This window comes from Homo sapiens, chromosome 22 (genome assembly GCF_000001405.40).
Source record: "Homo sapiens chromosome 22, GRCh38.p14 Primary Assembly".
In the NCBI taxonomy this organism is placed as follows: Eukaryota; Metazoa; Chordata; class Mammalia; order Primates; family Hominidae; genus Homo; species Homo sapiens.
In genome coordinates this window covers 16,600,398-16,620,054 of record NC_000022.11, presented here as the reverse complement: position 1 = coordinate 16,620,054, position 19,657 = coordinate 16,600,398, and the positions used below count along the sequence as shown (strand labels likewise).

General features: G+C 46.6%; 1 pseudogene across 1 annotated transcript in view; it reads right to left on the bottom strand.

Moving 5' to 3' along the window:
* TPTEP1 (TPTE pseudogene 1) overlaps positions 1-18,144 on the bottom strand; it is a 46,920-nt pseudogene extending 28,776 nt beyond the window's left edge. Inside the window, 3 exon segments of the transcript NR_001591.1 lie at positions 5,877-5,978; positions 8,162-8,397; positions 17,840-18,144. The product of NR_001591.1 is annotated as a TPTE pseudogene 1 (transcript).
* Positions 18,145-19,657: the final 1,513 nt, after the last annotated feature.

The following is a 19,657-nucleotide window of genomic DNA, read 5'->3' as shown; positions in this document are numbered from 1 at the left end:
TCTCTAAGAGGGAGAAATTTAATCAAGATCCTGTTGGCAGTTTTCTCTCTTGTTGCCTTTCAAGATTATGGCTTTTCCTTTTTTCATTTTTTAGTTCCCAAAACCAAGCTTGTTAAATCAAATCTTGACCCAATTCCTGGCAAGTAACAAGGTTACTGCTATTTGGCCTGACACCCACTGGTTGTCCCCCAGTACCGTGAGGGTAAGGGGACTCTGTAAGGTCCCTGGGAGGGGAAAGGAATGTCAATTAGTGGTCCCCCCAGCTGGGTATAAGCAAACTTTCCTGTCTATGGGCCCCAGAGACCACCATCTAGTTCCCCCGCCAAAACTTTACATGATTTTAATTCTCCTGATGAAGATGAGAGGACAACAGCCAACAGAGGGCAGAGGATGGGATGGGACTCCCTTGCTCAGAGACCTCACCTCTAGGTCTTTACCTCGTATTGAGAATGTCAGTTCTGTAATAAGAACTCTGTGTCCACGGCAACCCCAAACAGAATCCTGGCGCTCTTGTGATTCTTGTAGAGTGGGGAATAGAACGAGCTTGGCCCAAGACTGCAGAGACTTAAAAACATACTGTTCTTTGAGAATGGCAATCATTAAAAAGTTAGGAAACAACAGGTGCTGGAGAGGATGTGGAGAAATAGGAACACTTTTACACTGTTGGTGGGACTGTAAACTAGTTCAACCATTGGGGAAGTCAGTGTGGCGATTCCTCAGGGATCTAGAACTAGAAATACCATTTGACCCAGCCATCCCATTACTGGGTATATACCCAAAGGACTATAAATCATGCTGCTATAAAGACACATGCACACGTATGTTTACTGTGGCACTATTCACAATAGCAAAGACTTGGAACCAACCCAAATGTCCAACAGTGATAGACTGGATTAAGAAAATGTGGCACATATACACCATGGAATCCTATGCAGCCATAAAAAATGAGTTCATGTCCTTTGTAGGGACATGGATGAAATTGGAAATCATCATTCTCAGTAAACTATCGCAAGAACAAAAAACCGAACACCGCATATTCTCACTCATAGGTGGGAATTGAATAATGAGAACACATGGACCAAGGAAGGGGAACATCACACTCTGGGGACTGCTGTGGGGTGGGGGTAGGGGGGAGGGATAGCACTGGGAGATATACCTAATGCTAGATGACGAGTTAGTGGGTGCAGCGCACCAGCATGTCACACATATACATATGTAACTAACCTGCACATTGTGCACATGTACCCTAAAACTTAAAGTATAATAAAAAAAAAATACTGTTCTGCCATACATACGGATACTCATTAAAGATGAGGGAGAAAGGCATGGGGTGGGGGAGAATGTGCCAAAACCAAAGACCACAGGATAATAACCTCAGAGCAGAGACTCTCTCTCCAGTTATTTTTTCTTTTGTATGTAATGGAGCAGATTCTTATTATTTACTCTGATGAAGAAGTTTACATCAAGTGTTCAGCTTCCTTTGTGGGTTAGAGAGAATAACCAGAGGGCTCAGTTATCCTCTCTGAATAACTATGTTTGTTTAGTGTTTTCTAGACAATATTAAATTTCACTAAAATAGACAAAGTTGATAGGACTTGAGGGGAAAACTCATTGACTCAAGCTATCATTTTATAGGATTGTGAGAAAACAAATAGTTGTACATTTAAAATACACTCATATTCTCGCTAGAAGAGAGGATTTTGAATATTCTTACATCAAAGACATGGTAAATGTTTAAGGCAATAGATATGCTAATTACCACGATTTGATCATTATGCAATGTAAAATGTACCGAAACATCACATTGTACCTCATAAATATGTACAATTTATTATGCGTGAATTAAAATTTTGAGTATAAGAAAAAATAAACTTCAATTGTAAGAAAACAACCCAACTTTTAAAAAATGGGCAAAATATGTGAACAGATACTTCACTAATAGAGATTTGCAACTGGCAAATAAGCAAATGAAAAAATGGTCATCATCACTAGCTATTAGAGAAATGCAGATTAAAACTACAGTAAGAAACCACCAGATACCTATTAGAATATCTAAAATTAGAAAGATGGTGTGTTGACAAAGATAGAGAGAAACTGAAACTCTCATACAATACCAGGAATGTAAAGTGCTAGATCCACTTTGGAAAACAGTTTGACAGTTTCTTAAGAAGTTAATTAGGTCTTCCAGTTCCCACTCCAACATGTAGAGAACTTGGAAGTCATCACTCCCATCTTCACAACGGAAAAAAAGATAATCAAACTGAAAATCAACAACTTTTCTTAGATCTCTCCGAGAATAGAGGTCACAGGGAAACCACTTCCTCAAAAACTAGAGAGATGGGTGACTATAGAAAATCAGTTTACCTGAGAGCAGAAGCCACAGAGCCAGTAATTGGTAGGAACACTTCAATGGTAATCAATAAATTTACTGGTGGCTGAGTGTGGACTAGCTTGAGAGTTAAAAACTTGTTGGAGTCCCGTCTTGGGGGCCCCTTATACTTTCATGAATTTTACTTCCAGAAACCCCACCAGGTTCTCATGATGAAGGCCGAAGAAAATTTCCTCAGGCTCTTTACACAAGGAAAAGGGAAAAGCAATCATTTCAAAATATACCCTAATTGGAGGATAGAGAGGGTGAGTGGGTACAGCAACCATTTTGAAATGGTACCTAATTCAATTGCTTCACTTTTAACTAATATATAGGGCATCCTGTTAAACGTGCTTGTTAATTAAATCATTGGCATTTTATCCAGTCAGTACACTCATTAAATCAGAATTTCATCCAGTTAAAATCCAGTTTAAATCAGTGCTTTACCGACTTAAATCTAAAATGTCAAGTTTTAGGTCAGAAATTGTTAAATTCAGCAGAATACATTTTAAATGACATTAAAATGCATATGTGGATGCCATCAACAGCCTCCCTAAATCTAAAGACTATAAGAACTGAAAATTAAGATGAAAACATTAAAACACTTTAGTAAACTAAACTATTTTAAATCCAGTGTATACGAAACAATTTAAAATTTGTTTCATACACAAACAAATCTGCATCCAAGAAATCTAAGTGCCCAAACACCCCCTTAGAGATTTTGCACATACAGAGGTCAACAAAATGAGCACAGAAATACAGAAACTTTTCCTAAAATCCCCATTCAAGAAATACGTAACACCTCAGAATGGTCACTCATCTTGGCCAGGGGAACCCTGATATATTTTGGTTCACTGGATATTCGAAACCTCAATCCACTGTTCAAATCCCGGATTGCTTTCAACAACTTTCTGCCTTCAACAAGCACTGGGTGGGGCTTCCTAGTCCAAACAACAAATAGGGAAAGACATACACAAAGCTCCTTTGTGAATGTATAGATTTAAAATAAAATCCTCAACAGGGCTGTTTCAACATGGCTTAGTCTTTCATCAGAAAATGGGTCCTCTCATTCTTTTAGTCTACCTTTCACATCATGCACTGGCCAGGTGGAAAATTACTTTCTTTAGCTCTGCTGCTTCTGGTTTAGCAGCTCATTTTCACTCCTGGAGAAGAATTAACTTCTAAAGCCAATACCCTCTGCCTTTATGGCAAACATTGGATAGGCATTGTTTCTAAATAGTCCCAACTACTTAAAACTTAAGTCAGTTAATTCCACCCAAGAAAACCAAATGGCATGCAAACTACTCCCAGCAAAGTAACCTTAAAAAACAAAAGCATACTTTACTTTCCTCTCTCTCTCTACTTCCTTAAAGAGCAAGGAAGGCCTGTAGGCTCAGAGAAGCCAAGGAAACATCTCCTCCTTTACACTCCGAAATAGAAATTCTCATACTCCTTATCTTTAGTTTTGAATAAACTAGATCTTTAACATTAAGCTTTTCTAAATAAGACTGAAGATCAAGGATTAGGGTAAAGGAAAGAATGTCCTGAAGTCTTTTCTTTGTTGCTATCACAATGGAGGATCAACACATGGGCTGGTGACCAGCTTGGTGTGATATAATAGAACACTCCAGAGACCGGAGTTCTAGTCACAACCTTCAAGTTGTCACTGCCACATACCACATCTATTTAATGCAGTTGGTTTTTACAGTTCCAATATTCTGTGGTTCTGGGTATAGATCTACACACTGAAAAGAATATTCAATTACTCTGCTAATCAGAATGTGAAGTGACTTAGGTTTCTATACATAGAAGCTTAAGTTTCATTTGCTTATTCAACAAGTATTTACCGAATGCTAGCGTCCCAGGCAAGGTTTTAACTGAATAACAGCACATACCCTAGAAAAACAGTTATCAAATGCTGACAACGCTGTTTTCCCTGGCCAAGAACAAAGACTCATTTATTTGAGGTCCTTCCTACTTTTAGATGCTAAAATACGCTTATTTTTTAAAAAATCAAATAGTGGCAATAGCCAATAGTGGACTTTTTTGGTTTTCTTTTAATGTCCTTATTTAGCAAAATCAAAGTTAGGTGACAATTTGAAAAAAAAAAAAAAAACTAAGTTAGTCCCTATGTCAGCTCTCAACATTATTACTGTATTTTAGAAACTTTACTAATATGTGAAACTGTAATTTTGGGGAACTCCATTTCTCTACTGACATCCTTTCCAAAAAGAGACACCAGCTCTACAGTCTCGGGATTAGAAATATGATGTGAGGCTGGGCATAGTGGCTCACCCCTGTACTCCCAATGCTTTGGGTAGCCGAAGTGGGTGGATCACTTGAGGCCAGGAGTTGGAGACCAGCCTGGCCAACATGGTGAAACCCCTTATCTGCTAAAAATACAAAAATTAGCTGGGCATGGTAATACACACCTGTAATCCCAGCTACTTGGGAATCACTTGAACCCAGGAAGTGGAGGTAGCAGTGAGCCAAGATCGTGCCACTGCATTCCAGCCTGGGCAACAGGGCGAGACTTTTTTCATACGCGTCCGTGTGAAGAGACCACCAAACAGGCTTTGTGTGAGCAATAAAGCTGTTTATTTCACCTGGGTGCCGGTGGGCTGAGTCCGAAAAGAGAGTCAGTGAAGGAAGATAGGGGTGGGGCTGTTTTATAGGATTTGGGAAGGTAATAAAAAATTACAATCAAAGGGGGTTGTTCTCTGGTGGGCAGGGGTGGATCTCACAAAGTACATTCTCAAGGGTGGGGAGAATTACAAAGAACCTTCTTAAGGGTGGGGGAGATTACAAAGTACATTGATCAGTTAGGGTGGGGCAGGAACAAATCACAATGGTGGAATGTCATCAGTTAAGGCTGTTTTTACTTCTTTTGTGGATCTTCAGTTACTTCAGGCCATCTGGATGTATACGTGCAAGTCACAGGGGATGCGATGGCCTGGCCTGGGCTCAGAGGCCTGACATTCCTGCCTTCTGATATTAATAAGACAAATAAAACAAAATAGTGTTGAAGTGTTGGAGCGGCGAAAATTTTTGGGGGGTGGTATGGAGAGAGAATGGGCGATGTTTCTCAGGGCTGCTTCAAGTGGGATTAGGGGCGGCGTGGGAACCTAGAGTGGGAGAGATTAAGCTGAAGGGAGGTCTTGTGGTAAGGGGTGATATTGTGGGGATGTTAGAGGACACAAAGGAGGCTTTGGATTGGGAAGAAGGGCAGCAATGAGATGTAGCTGTACTCCAGGAATAGTCAGGGAAGCAGATAATTTGGTTAAAATATTTCGGCCTAATAAGGGAAGTGGGCAGGTGGGGATAACTAAAAAAGAGTGCATAAAAGAGTGTTGTCCAAGTTGGCACCAGAGTGGGGGAGTTTTCAGGGGTTTTGAAGCTTGGCCGTCAATACCCACAACAGTTATGGGGGCAAGGGAAACAGGCCCTTGAAAAGAAGGCAACGTGGAGTGGGTAGCCCCCGTATCGATTAAACAGGGGATGGACTTACCCTCCACTGTGAGAGTTACCCGAAGCTCGGCTTCTGTGATGGTCCAGGGGACTTCCGAGGCGATCGGGCAGCGTCAATCTTCAGTCGCTAAGCCGAATAGATCTGGGAAGGAGTCAGAGAGCCTTGGGCTAGAGCTTTAGGGGCTCCAGGAGTGGCTGTCGGGCGAGCTGGGCAGTCTGATTTCCAGTGGGTGCCTGCACAGATGGGACATGGCTTGGGAGGAATCCTGGGCTGTGGGCATTCCTTGGCCCAGTGGCCAGATTTCTGGCACTTGAAGCAAGATCCTGATGAAGTCTTGTAGGAGTGTCTGATTGCTGCGTCTTAGGCATTTTGAAGTTCCTGTATGCAGGAGGTGTGGCTGGGTTTTGTCTCACAGCAGAGGCAAGTAATTGTAACTCCGAAATGCGTTGCCGTCTGGCTGCTTCCTCTCTATTATTGTACACCTTGAAGGCAAGGTTGATTAATTCCTGCTGGGTTTGAAGGCCAGATTCTAATTTTTGAAGTTTTTTCCTAATGTCAGGAGTGGATTGGGTGATAAAAATGCATATTAAGAATAAGGCGGCCTTCTGGCCCCTCTGGGTCTAGGGCAGTATAGCATCTAATGGTTGCTGCTAAGTGGGCCATGACCTGGGCTGGGTTTTCGTCTTTACCTCGGGTAGTTTCTTTAAGCTTGTCATAATTAACAGCTTTGTAAGCTGCTTTTTTAAGCCCTTCAACTAGGCAGGAAACCATGTAATCTCGCCTAGCTGTACCTGGGGAATCTGCCTGATAGTTCCATTGGGGATCCTCTCGGGGAACTGCTCTAATGCCTTCCTGGAGGTCTGGCTCATGAAGCCGGCGGTTATCAGCACGAGATTGGGCTAGAGAAAAAACTTTCCCGTTCATCTGGGGAGAGAGTAGAAGTCAGGATGACATTTAAGTCACTCCAGGTTAAGTTGTAGGACAGAGTTAGATATTGGAATTCCTGTATATATTTAGTGGGGTCTGATGAGAAAGAGCCTAAACATTGACTGATCTGAGAGAGGTCTGATAGAGAAAAAAGTACATGTACCTTGACTATGCCTTCAGCTCCAGCCACTTCTCTAAGAGGAAATTGTTGGGCAGGTGGGGAAGCGCTAGTCGCGGAACTAAACTGTAAGCCGGACCAGGTGTGAGGAGGGGAGGTGATAGAAGGATTATAGGGTGGAGGAGTGGAGGCTGAGGAAGTATTGGGACTTAGCTCGGTCTGGCGACAAGCAGCTTGGGGAGGAGGGGAAAGGTCAGATGGGTCTGTAGAAAAGGAAGACTGGGAAGACTCAGCGACGCTTGGGGTTGGGACCGAGGGGACAGGCGGGAGGGAAAGGAGGAGGATCTGGGAGGAATCGCATTGGGAACAGAGACTAGGGAGGGAACGAAGTGTGAAAAATGCCTGGACGTAAGGCACCTCAGACCATTTGCCCATTTTTCGACAAAAATTATTTAGGTCTTGTAGGATGGAGAAATCGAAAGTGCCATTTTCCGGCCATTTAGAGACATTGTCAAGTTTGTATTGGGGCCAAGCGGTTGCGGTGTTGCAGAAGAAAATAAGGCATTTAGGTTTTAGGTCAGGTGTGAGTTGAAGAGGTTTTAACTTTTTGAGCACACAGGCTAAGGGAGAAGAAGGAGGAATGGAGGGTGGAAGGTTGCCCATAGTGAAGGAAGCAAACCCACAGAAGAGAGCGTAGAGACACAGATGGAAGGGGTTTGGGGGTTCTTGCCCCCTAGAAAAGCGGGACTTGCCACTAAGGGTGAAGGAGAAGGCGTTGAGGGGTACTTGCCCCTGCCCCAGGAAAGCGGGACTTGCCACTAAGTGTGAAGGGGAAGGGGTTGAGGGGTACTTGCCCCTGCCCCAGAAAAGCGGGACTTGCCGCTGAGGGTGAAGGAGAAGGGGTTGAGGGGTACTTGCCCCTGCCCCAGGAAAGCGGGACTTGCCGCTAAGGGTGAAGGACCAAGGCAGGCGTCCCTGCGTGGTCTGACACCCTTGAAACGTGAGTGTATAATCAGAGAGGCGTCCCTGCAATGATTAAACACCAAGGGAAGGCTGCCTTCCCAGTCCGTGACCAGCGCCGGAGTTTTGGGTTCACGGATAAAACATGTCTCTTTTGTCTCTTCCAGAAAATGAAAGGAATTGAAATTAAGAGAAGGGAGAGATTGAAGTGTGGCGCCAAGATTGAAAGGAGAAAGAGGTTGAGGGATAGTGAGGGAGGTTGGAGAAGCTAAGGGAGAAGGAGGAGGAATGGAGAAGAGAGTAAAAAGAGGCCGCTTACCAGATTTGAAATTGGTGAGATGTTTCTTGGGCTGGTCGGTCTGAGGACCTGAGGTCGTAGGTGGATCTTTCTCACGGAGCAAAGAGCAGGAGGACGGGGGATTGATCTCCTAAGGGAGGTCCCCCGATCCAAGTCACGGCACCAAATTTCATGCGCATCCGTGTGAAGAGACCACCAAACAGGCTTCGTGTGAGCAATAAAGCTGTTTATTTCACCTGGGTGCAGGTGGGCTGAGTCTGAAAAGAGAGTCAAGTGAAGGGAGATAGGGGTGGGGCTGTTTTATAGGATTTGGGAAGGTAATGGAAAATTACAGTCAAAGGGGGTTGTTCTCTGGTGGGCAGGGGTGGATCTCACAAAGTACATTCTCAAGGGTGGGGAGAATTACAAAGAACCTTCTTAAGGGTGGGGGAGATTACAAAGTACATTGATCAGTTAGGGTGGGGCAGGAACAAATCACAATGGTGGAATGTCATCAGTTAAGGCTGTTTTTACTTCTTCTGTGGATCTTCAATTACTTCAGGCCATCTGGATGTATATGTGCAAGTCACGGGATGCGATGGCCTGGCCTGGGCTCAGAGGCCTGACAACTTTGACTCCCCCCTTGCCCCCCAAAAAAAGAAACATGATGGAGTGTTATTTCCCACTCAGGGAAATAGCATAACCTAGTTACTGAAAATATTTATTAATACACAGATGTTTTGGTTCCAATTCTCAATTATCTGGGTTAAAGAAGTTACCATCACTCTCCACACAAGACCTTGTAGGATTATTTCTCTGCAGTGAAGGAAAATGAAGGAGGTTCAGTGGGAAACGATCTTAGGACAGAGGAAGCTTCCACTTTGCCTGGGAGGGTGAACAGCCTGGGAGACCTGGAGATGAGGGTAGGCATTCTAGGCCAAGGGGTCTTCTTGTGTGGTCAGATGGGGAAGGAAACCCTCCTGGCAAAACAGCAGCAATTCTTTCTCCAGGAAAGCTTCTGAGACTGACTCTAATAAGTCAATTGTGACCAACTGTCCTAGGCTCCCAGGGCCACAGCAATCCTTAGGCACCCCAAATGTGCCATCCCTGATTACCCAGCACACCCTACCCCCAAAGCATTGTGACAGCTCAAGGATGACTTCCTCTGAAAACCTCTGTCCAGATCTAAAACCATCCTGTTTATTTGCTTGTAACTATCTTTTTCTAAAAGTAACACCTCAGGATGGAGACTCTGTTGCCTTGTCCACTGCTGCCCCCAATGCCTGGAACAAGGTGCCTGACACAGGATTAGGCACGGGACACATAGCTGGTGAATAAACGTCACGGAATTAGCACACATGTAGAATCAGTACGCACATGTTTGGCCACAGTCACTAACCGTAACTGATCAGAAATTAAAATTAACTTGCATGTTCATCAAAACTTCTACATGGCTATCAGCGACTGCCATCTAATTGCCATTCTGCAACCTCAAGAGTACAATTTCAAGAGCGTAATAAAAAAAATCGTATTTAATCACACCATAAAGTTGATCAGCACAAGCACAACAAAAACTGCACTATCTGGATTTATACTCAAGGCGCCTCGGCGGATGGCACAAAAGGCCGAGAGAAACTCCGCGACGCCTCCCTCCCTCCCTCCCCGCCCCCTCCCCTCCGCGCCCGCTCCTCCTCATTCAAACCCCGCCGGCTGAGTGGTGTCAGCTCAGTCCCGGCCGCCGCCGCGCGAGGAAACGGCCGAGGCGCCGGAGCCGCAGGTAAAGGGGGCGCCCGCCTGGTCCTGCGGAGGCTCCCGCGCCGCCCCCAAGGCGCCCGGCTCTCATTGTCTTGTCCCCCCCAGGATGACCTCAGTTCCCCGTCTCAGCTTTCTAGCCGCTTCTCTAGGGCGCCCCCTCCCCAGCCGGCTCCTGCGCTTCCGCCCACGGGAAGGTGCGGGCGATCCCGGGCTGCATCCGCTCTTGGCCGTCACACTCAGGCCGCACGATTTAGAAGGGCTTGGGATGCGGGGTTCCCTGAATCTCCGCCGGGAGCGGGGGTCCGGGGATCTGCAGGGGTGGGCGGTGGGGGGCTGTTCCGAAAAGTTGGGTCGCCCCGCGGGGCGGATCTGCCAATTTGCCCAGTCAGCCCTTGGGGCGCGGGCGGAGGGGGGACGTCGGTGTAGGGTCCCCCGCGATGCCCCGGAAAGGGCCGGGGCAAGTTGGAAACGGCCAAAACAATGCGTCTGGACGGGCATCCCCCGTAAACAATGGCCGGGACGGTCCACACCGGCCGGGCAGAGGGCGCGTCTAAGGGACCGCCGGAGGGGCTGGGCCTCACCGCGGACCCCGACACGCGCCCGGTGACTCCCTCGGGTGCCCAAAAATCTGTCTCCGGGAGTCCTGGGGCGCCTGCTCATCCCTGAGCAGGGATGCACGGGGCTGCATTTCCTGGATGTGTGCGATAAGGTGGCTTTTTCCCTCCTCTAATTTTAAAGATTTTTTTTAAGTCTTAATGTTCTATAAACACTTAAAGAATATCTTTACAACTCAATTCTAGTGGAACACCCAAAGCCAGCTGGAAGCAGAACTGGGAACTCTAAAGGGCAGGAAGGATTGAAATGCTAGCCCAAAAGTGCTGTTGCTTTTCTTTTCTTTTCTTTTTTTTAAAGGGAAGTTTCCGCCAGGAGTGCCGAGTGGTGAAACTGCTCAGTTTCAGGCACAGCCCTCTTGTCTCTGGATTTGGCCCCGACTTCGAGCCGGACCGGATAGTGGAGGGGCGGAGGGCGCTGCTGGGGGCCCGGGAGGCTGGATTTAGGGCTGCCTGGGTGGTACCGCCCGAGGGGCAAGACCCGGCACGCAAGGCACGCACCGGAACCTGGGTCCCGGGGATTTGAGAAGACATTCAGGGCCCGGGTTGGAACCCACATTTTGGGATTCTGGGTAGGGCCACCGAAGACGGGAAGACGCATTCTTGGGCGGGTGGGGGTGGAGTGAGCAGGCGGGGAGTTTTCCGCCAGGTTTAGTTACAGGAGCTAGAAAAGGCCACTTCTGGGACCCTGGCATCCAGGCCACCCCGAGAGCCCTAGAAACTTTTTCTTTTTCTTTCCCCCTCACCCCCCAGAAAAGGAGAGTCATTTCAGGTTTAAGGCTTTGGTGTATTGTTCCACTTCGAAATTCCTTGAGTCTCACTTTATCTTCTTGAATCAGCCTATGGGGCTTGGAGCGTTGAACATTCCTAAACACGGAGGAAGTAAATAGTGGTTGCAGTGGTCCACTGGCCAGTTTGGGGGTCCTGTATTATTGGCCACTGTGTGTCCTACAGCGTAGCTAGGTTTTTTAGTTTTCTAAATCATTTGGAAGCATTAAGCTGTATATTTTAAGAAGCCTAGGTCTGATTTAGTTCAGGTTGATTCAATAATGTCTTCATCGCTTTTGAGTTGGTTGAATGACTTGACATGAGATTAAGCTCAACAAAAGAAAAGGCGAGGTAGCAACAGCTGCGTCACAAATAAATAAATTCTGCAAATAAAGGGATCAACACTTCCAATTATAAATTCAAGATTGGTCTATTACTTTTTTCTTTTTGAGACGGAGTCTCACTCTGTCGCCCAGGCTGGTGTGCAATAATAGCACGATCTCAGCTCACTGCAACCTCTGCCTCCTGGGTTCAAGCGATTGTCCTGCCTCAGCTTCCCGAGTCACTGGGACTATAGGTGCCCGCCACTATGCCCAGCTAATTTTTGTATTTTTGGTAGAGACGGGGTTTCACCATATTGGCCAGGCTGGTCTCCCACTCCTGACCTTGTGATCCGCCCACCTCAGCCTCCCAAAGTGCTGGGATTACCGGTGTGAGCCACCGTGCCCGGCCTTTCTATTACATTTTTACAGATAACCACCAGCATATATCTACAAGCAATGGCTATAATAAAAAAAGAAATAATCTCAGCCAGGCATGGTGGCTCACGTCTGTAATCCCAGCACTTTGGGAGTGCGGAGGCAGGCAGATCACCTGAGGTCAGGAGTTTGAGACCAGCCTGGCCAACATGGTGAACACCCATCTCTACTAAAAACACAAAAATTAGCTGGGTGTGGTGGCATGCACCTGTAATCCCAGCTTTTTGGGAGGCTGAGCCAGGCAAATCACTTGAATCCGGAGGGCGGCGGCTGCAGTGAGCCAGGATCACGCCACTGCACTCCAGCCTAGGCAAGAGAGTGAGACTCTGTCTGAAAAAAAAAAAAACAAAAACAGAAATCATCCCTATTCTACTTCATAACTTTTGCAACTTATCCTGCCAACAAGTTCTCAAAATAACCACTGTAGCACAAACATGATAAAGAAAATTTTTAAAGAGAAAAGGAAGAGATTAATCAGCTTTCTGAAATTAAAAGATAAAAATAGACCAAAACAATATAGAAAAAAAAAAGTAAAGGCAAACACAAACTCACACGCTGACTGGAAAGTTTATTCCATGGCAGCTAAAAATTGTTTGACCCAAACATCTCACAGATTAAAAACTAAATCACAACCTAACGAGGGTATCTAACACGTCCCCACCAGGCAAGAGTGCAGAGAGACCATCTAATGTTCCTATTTATTTAGAGTCTTGCTCTGTCACCTGACTAGAGTGTAGTGGTGTGATGTCCGTTCACTGCAGCCTCAACCTCCAAGCCTCACACAATCTTCTCTCAGCTCAGTCTCCAGAGTAGTTGGGATTACAAGTGCCTACCACCACACCCAGCTAATTTTTTTGTAGAGACAAGGCCTCACTTTGTTGCCCAGGCTGGTCTCAAACTCCTTTTAAATGAGGATTAAGTGATCCTCCTGACTCAGTCTCCCGAAAGTGCTGGGATTACATGTATCAGCCACCACACCCATCCTTAATGTCCTTTATAACTGAAAACTGACCAATTTTCACCTTGGAAGGTCAATGAAGTTTCACGAAGCCCCTCCGTCATAAACTTAAAGTGACTTAAGTTTACAGAGTTGGACAACCACTCTGTAAGTTTACAGAGTTGGACAACCACTCTGTAAGTTTACAGAGTTGGACAACCACTCTGTAAGTTTACAGAGTTGGACAACCCAGAGAAACCTGACTGTGGTCTGGGAAACTTTGCAGTTTTGCGGAATAGAGGAATGAGAGGAAGCAGTGTGGCTTGTCACTCGGCAAATTGACAACAAATCTGGCATTATGGAATTAACTGAAATAGTAGGAAAATGTAATAAATCACAAGTTTCAGAATGGGAAAACAAATTGTTGTGATACTTTTAAATTTCCATGGAAATCCATGTTTATCAAGTTTACATATTAGTAACCAATATGTAAATTGGTGTTTACATATTAGTAACCAATATGTAAATTTATATATTAGTAAACAATATATAAATTTGTATAATAGACTAAAAATAACATCTTCTCAAATATTAGAAATTCCCTGGGCCAGGTGCGGTGGCTCACACCTGTAATCCCAGCACTTTGGGAGGCCAAGGCAGGCAGATCATGAGGTCAAGAGATTGCGACCATCCTGGCTAACACGGTGAAACCCCGTCTCTACTAAAAATACAAAAATTAGTCAGGCATGGTGGTACGTGCCTGCAGTCCCAGCTACTCCAGCTACTTGGGAGGCTGAGACAGGAGAATCGCTTGAACCTGGGAGGCGGAACTTGCAGCGAGCCAAGATCGCACCACTGCACTGCAGCCTGGGCGACAGAGCAAGACTCTGTCAAAGAAAAAAAAAAAAAAAACAGGTTCTTATTCATGGGAATTTCAGGTCAGGTTAAACAACAACCTCCTAACAGGTAAGAGAGGGTAGCAATCCTGAACCAACTTTTCAACTGAATTAAAACATTTCAGTGCCTATTGAGTCCCAGAGACCAATAACTATCAAAAATTTTATCAAATCTCTTGGACAATAAATTATTAAGAATTGCTATCATAAAAATTACAAATTTGCATTATCTCAAAAAGCATGAATAGTGCTCTCAACTATAAACTTGTTTTATTAAATGGTATATATTGTAATGCAGTACAGTTTTCTATCACTTATTTCTAATTCACAGATATGAAAAGGAGAAATTTTGTTGGGGGAAGGGCGTTACAAATACAGAGTAGCAACCTAGCCATTTTTGCTGGTCCTTGTAATGACAATCACTGGTTGTGCCTAATTTTTCTACAACAATAATGCTTAAGGTGGCTCTCTAATAATAGCAATTGCCCTCTGAAAAGAAAGTGGCTCAGGGTATAAAGAGTTTACTCAAAAAAGGCCAAGGATAGTGCTTCAGAAATCCTATCCCTACCACCTGCTGCTTCTGTACAACCACCCCCATCCCCCACACCCACACCCATTTCTAACATCAACTTTCATGAACTGGTAAGAAACATAGTAGAGTAGAATGTTTCTTTGGCTTCCCAACTTGGTAATGTGAATTTACGGTGTAAGGATGGAAAAAATAAGATAAAAGCTTCAGAAAAATTTTTTAACATTAACACAAAAATAATCAGATCTTTAATATGTGCATATTCTGACAGAGGCTTGCCAATGGTTAAGACCTGTGCCTCTGATAAAGATGATGAACTACTCCAAAGTATCAAGTAATTTGATACTTTTTACAGTTAAGGAAAACTTTCAAATGAATGTAAATTTCACTGTGCCACTTGACATTTGTACAACAGGAAACCTCTATGTATTTACTTTTCCAACTCTAAGATTAGTAGCTTCAGTTCAAGTTTCCTGATTTTAGGTAGTAAAATTTTAAGATATTTATAGTTAATGTAAAAGCAGTAACTATATAGCTATGCTTTTTATTCATGACAAAATACACAAAAACAATCTAGCTAACACTATAAGACAAGAAAATGCTTTATTTTCCTAATTATTAAAAATTTAAACTTGAGGAAAGTGTAATTGGTGGTGCATGTTTTTTTAAGCCAAAGATAAATATACAAATCCACTTCATTGTCAAAAGGCATCTTCTCAGCAGGGTGCAGTGGCTCACGCCTGTAATCCTGGCACTTTGGGAGGCTAAGGAGGGTGGATTACCTGAGGTCGGGGGTTCAAGAACAGCCTGGCCAACATGGTGAAATGCTGTCTCTGCTAAAAATACAAAAAATTAGCTAGGTGCGATGGTGCACACCTGTAATCCCAGCTACTCTGGAGGCTGAGGCAGGAGAGTCGCTTGAATACAGGAGGCGGAGGTTGTGGTGAGCCGAGATCATACCACTACACTGGGCTACAGAGCAAGACTTCGTACAGAAAAAAAAAAAAGGCATCTTCTCTACTTAATGTAACTCACTAAGTTAATGAACATCTAAGTAACATTAGCAACTTAAAATATCTCTATGGCATTTAGCAAAGAAGATTAATTTTCATTTCTCAGGTGAATTATTTGCAATTTCACATAATTTCACTGGTTACAAACCTAATTTACACTGGTTACACATAAGTTTCACCTTCAGGGTCTTTACTATCCAACTACAGGGTCTTTTCTGCATGGATTCTTATACAGTATAGAGATACACAATTGAAAAACTTTCTCTTTGCTTTCCAATTCATATGTTAGTTTCCATTTACATGTTTCTAAAAACAACTGGAGATTCCACTCCCTTCAAAAGACACAATTTCAAAAAAAAGCTCTAAAAAGTTTAGACCCGTGAAATTTACCAGTAGACTTTACTTTCCTATAAAGAAAGCAGTACTAGTTTTCAAATCTAAAAGAAAAAGCTCTCTACAGACTTACATTTGTTCTAAATATTTCCAAAAGTTTTGATGTTTCATAGTTAGATTATACTGTTATTCAGCAGAAATTTTTTATCTTCTCCAAAGGCTACCTATTTCTTCATAATATGAGATTAAGAATTAAAATAATAAAGTGGCAATACCCTAATCGTCCAGTGCACTCAGGAGCTGCACTAATACAAATGAGCTCATTTCAAAAGTAGGGTGTGTGCGAGTGTGCGCGTGCGTGTGAGCGTGTGCGCGTGCACAAGCACGCCCTTACAGGAGTATGGGGTGTGGGGTGTGACAACACAGATCTAATCTTTCTGGAGTAAGAATTCAAATGCAAATTAAAAAAAAAAATTGCAAATTAATGTTCAGTAAGAGATGAAGAAATGCTTTGCAAATAGTGAAATGGGAGGCAATCAAGGTAAAACCCCCAATATGGCTTGTCCTGAGTTGCTTTAAAGGATGCAAAAAAGTGGCTTAGACGTCTAAAAATTACTTAAACCTCCACTTCCTTCTCCAAATTTCAGTTAATATAGAATAAGGGCATTTTATATTTGCCATTGTATTACAACGCAAGTGGCATAAGTAAGTCCTAACTTTGTATCACGAAGAAGCTAATGTAATAACGTACACACATCCTGTACTTGCCTCCCTCACGATTATCATAGCTAGGTAAGAGCTGGCAATAAAATATGGAGGCAAGTTGAAGGCCCTGAATCATTTTCATAGTAAAAGGACAGCGGGGCAAGAAAAGAGCACATTCAAGTCAAGAGCTTAATGGGTTCCCACAACCCAGCTCTGCTATGCCTCAGTTCACGCTACTATTTTTACTACAAATCACCAAACAACACTATTACTAAGTGAATGCACCCGAACCAAAGAAACAGCCTATCCATAAACGTGCTGGCTTCCTTCACGTCCCAGCGCACCCTTCCACTCCCGACAGTTCAATGAGAATATCATCTCATGAAATGAGTAAGCACACACGCCATTCTACAACTTCGAAAGACATTCACAGTTCTTCCACGGCACACGCGAGAGCCACAGAAGCCGAGCAGCTCGCTGGCACTAAAACGGTGTCTTAATTTACAAGCAAAGCCGTCAAATAACCGTTCTGTAAGAAGACATTTCTGGTCCTCTAATAAGCCGGTGTCCAGCCCTACAGTACGGTCGGTCAAAGGCAGGCGACCCTATTCCCAAGCCCCTTACAGCTAAGACTTACGAGGGAAACGACATTTACATCTGCACTCTCTCTGAATAAGTGCTCTTGGTATTCTGCCTTACGAGGGGACGCTGGCTACGTCTCCAAAACTTAGGCAGGCCGTTCCCCGAAGCTGGGGGTTCCCACAGGACTTGTGCTTTCGGAGCCCGGGAGTGCGGTGCTGGGTGTTGGGGGAGGGGGAAGGAAGAAGCCAAATGGCTTCCTAATATATCATCAAAAGAAGAAAACACAGGTTTGGGACCAGGAAAAGTTCCACGAACGAGTCGCTGACAAACAAAAGCTGCACTCGCCCGGCCGCTTTCTTCTCGCCCCCAGCCCGCGCCCCGAGACCACCTGGCCCGGGCGTTTTGACAGCTCCGAGTTTCCCGAGCGCCCACGGCTCGGCGGTTCGCTCGGAGTCCGTCCGGGGACTACCTGCGCGCGCTCCGGGCTTGTTTTCTCAATGATCCAGCTAGGCCAAGACGCGGCTACGAGAAATTTCTCCAAAAGAAGAGTCGCGGAGAAGACCCACTGAAAAGGCCCGACTGAAAAGTAAAGTGTGCGAAGCCGGGCGCCGACGGGAGCCCGGGCGGGCGGCGCGGAGCGGGGGAGGCCGGGCGCGGGCGGCTACCGAGGGGCGTGGGGCCGGGGCCGGGAGCTGCCGCCGCCCGCGGGCCCGCCCCGCCCCCATCCCGCCGGGGGGCGCCAAGGCGTGGAGGCCGCGGGGCGGGCGCCCGGTGGCAGCTCCGGCCCGGCGCCGCCGCTGGCTCCCGGCCTGGCTCCCTCGCACTCAACTTACTTCTTTCTGGCTCTCTGGAAAGGGGAAGCGCCTTGCGAGGCCGGCCCCGAGGTCTTTTGTCTGCGGCTGGGGGGCTCGGGGCCGGGGCTCCAGGCTCCTCGGGGGGTGGTGGCTGCGGCTGCTCCACGCACTTGTTCTCCTCCGACGACATCCTAGTCACCAGGAAAGACACATGGATCCCGGTCCTCCTCTTGGGGGGCTCCCGCCGCCGCGGCCGCCGCCGCCGCTGCTCGGGTTCCTCCTCCCCGGCTCAGACTCTCGCATTTCCCGAAGCCCCGGGAGCAGCAGCAGGTACCGGGAGAGGCGGCAACATGGAGCGAGCAGGACACGCACGCGCGCAGGGGCCGGGCGGGGAGCGGGCGGGCGGGCGGCGTGAGGGGCGCCGGCCTCCGGGGTCTCCGCCCGCGGCCCCTCCCCCGGGCCGCCCGCAGCAGGAAGAGAAAGGGGCCCGGCGCGGGGAGGGCGGGCCGCGGGGCCCGGGCGGCGGCGAAGTTTTGACAGCTGCTCCAGCGGCGGCGCTGGGCGTCGGGCCGCGGCTCGCTCCTCACACTCGCTCTCACACACGCTCGCTCGCTCTCCCGGAGCAGGGGAGGAGGAAGTTTTGCGGGTGTGCGTGGACCCCCCACACACGCCGCGCGACCGTGGCCGTCGCGCGAGGCCCGCGCCGGGGATCCCCCGGGGCGACCCGCACCACAGACCTCCCCAACTCGCAGCCGTCGCGCCCACACAACGCCTCCTCGACGGCCCCCGCCCGCTCCCCCACTCTCGGCCCCTCGCCCGCCCCCCGCGCGCCGCCGCTGCCACTCACGGGCCTCGCTCCGCGCATGCGAAGCTCCCGCCGCCCGCGGACGCGCCGCCGCCGCTGACCTCACCGCCCCTCCCCCTCCCCATGGGTTCCCTCCCCCTGTGACGGGGCGGCCGGGCCCAGCCGCGACTTCGGCTCCGGCTCCGGCTCCGGCTCGGGAGGGAGCCAAGCTGTGGACCCAGAGATCCGGGATCGGGATCGGGGGACTGCGGGCGAGGGCGGGAGGGAGCCGCGGACACACGCCGAGGCGGCGCGGGCGCCCGGCGCAGCCCGGCGCGAGGAGCAAGTGTGCGCCCGCAGGGCGAGGGCAGCCGGGGCTTCGCTGGTTCTTGCCGAGGTCTTTCCTCGTATCGCCCACACTACGGGGAGGAAAAGGAATGGAGTCAACTTCGTTCTAATCCAACGCCAGTTACAGTTTCCTTATTATAACGTCATTTTTTTAATCCAGAAAAGGTTCATAAGGATGTAAGACGAAAAGAACGATGACAGCTCGAGAAATAAAACGGTTAGAGACAAAATAAGCCAATAAAAACCCAACCACTTGATTTTAACGTTCAGTGTGTTGTGATGAAGAGGCAAAAATCGAAGTATTTCTAAGCCACCTCTCATAACATGTAAAAATGGTAAAAGGAAAAATGGGGCTAGAATCCGCCTGAAAAATGCACTTTCTCAAGAAGGACAGTTACAAATATGGGATTCCGGATTCCTCAGGCTAATACCTAACACTTGGACGATGATCTATTCTGTGCTTTCCATTAACTATCGATTAGTATATGGGAGTGAAAAAATTCTAGATTTGAATAGGGGGGAAATAGTAAGACCTATCAACCATTTGTGAAGGATTGGGGTAAACTATCATTTAATAAGCATCTACTTTGGACCTGGCGTTAAGAGGCACACTCTCATCTTGATTTCGTTTGATCTTCACAATGTAGTTTTAGTGTAAGGTAAAAAAAAAATAGGCTCCTTTTGCAGCGATGTTGTTTGCTTTCCCTTCTAGTAGCTAGGATGTT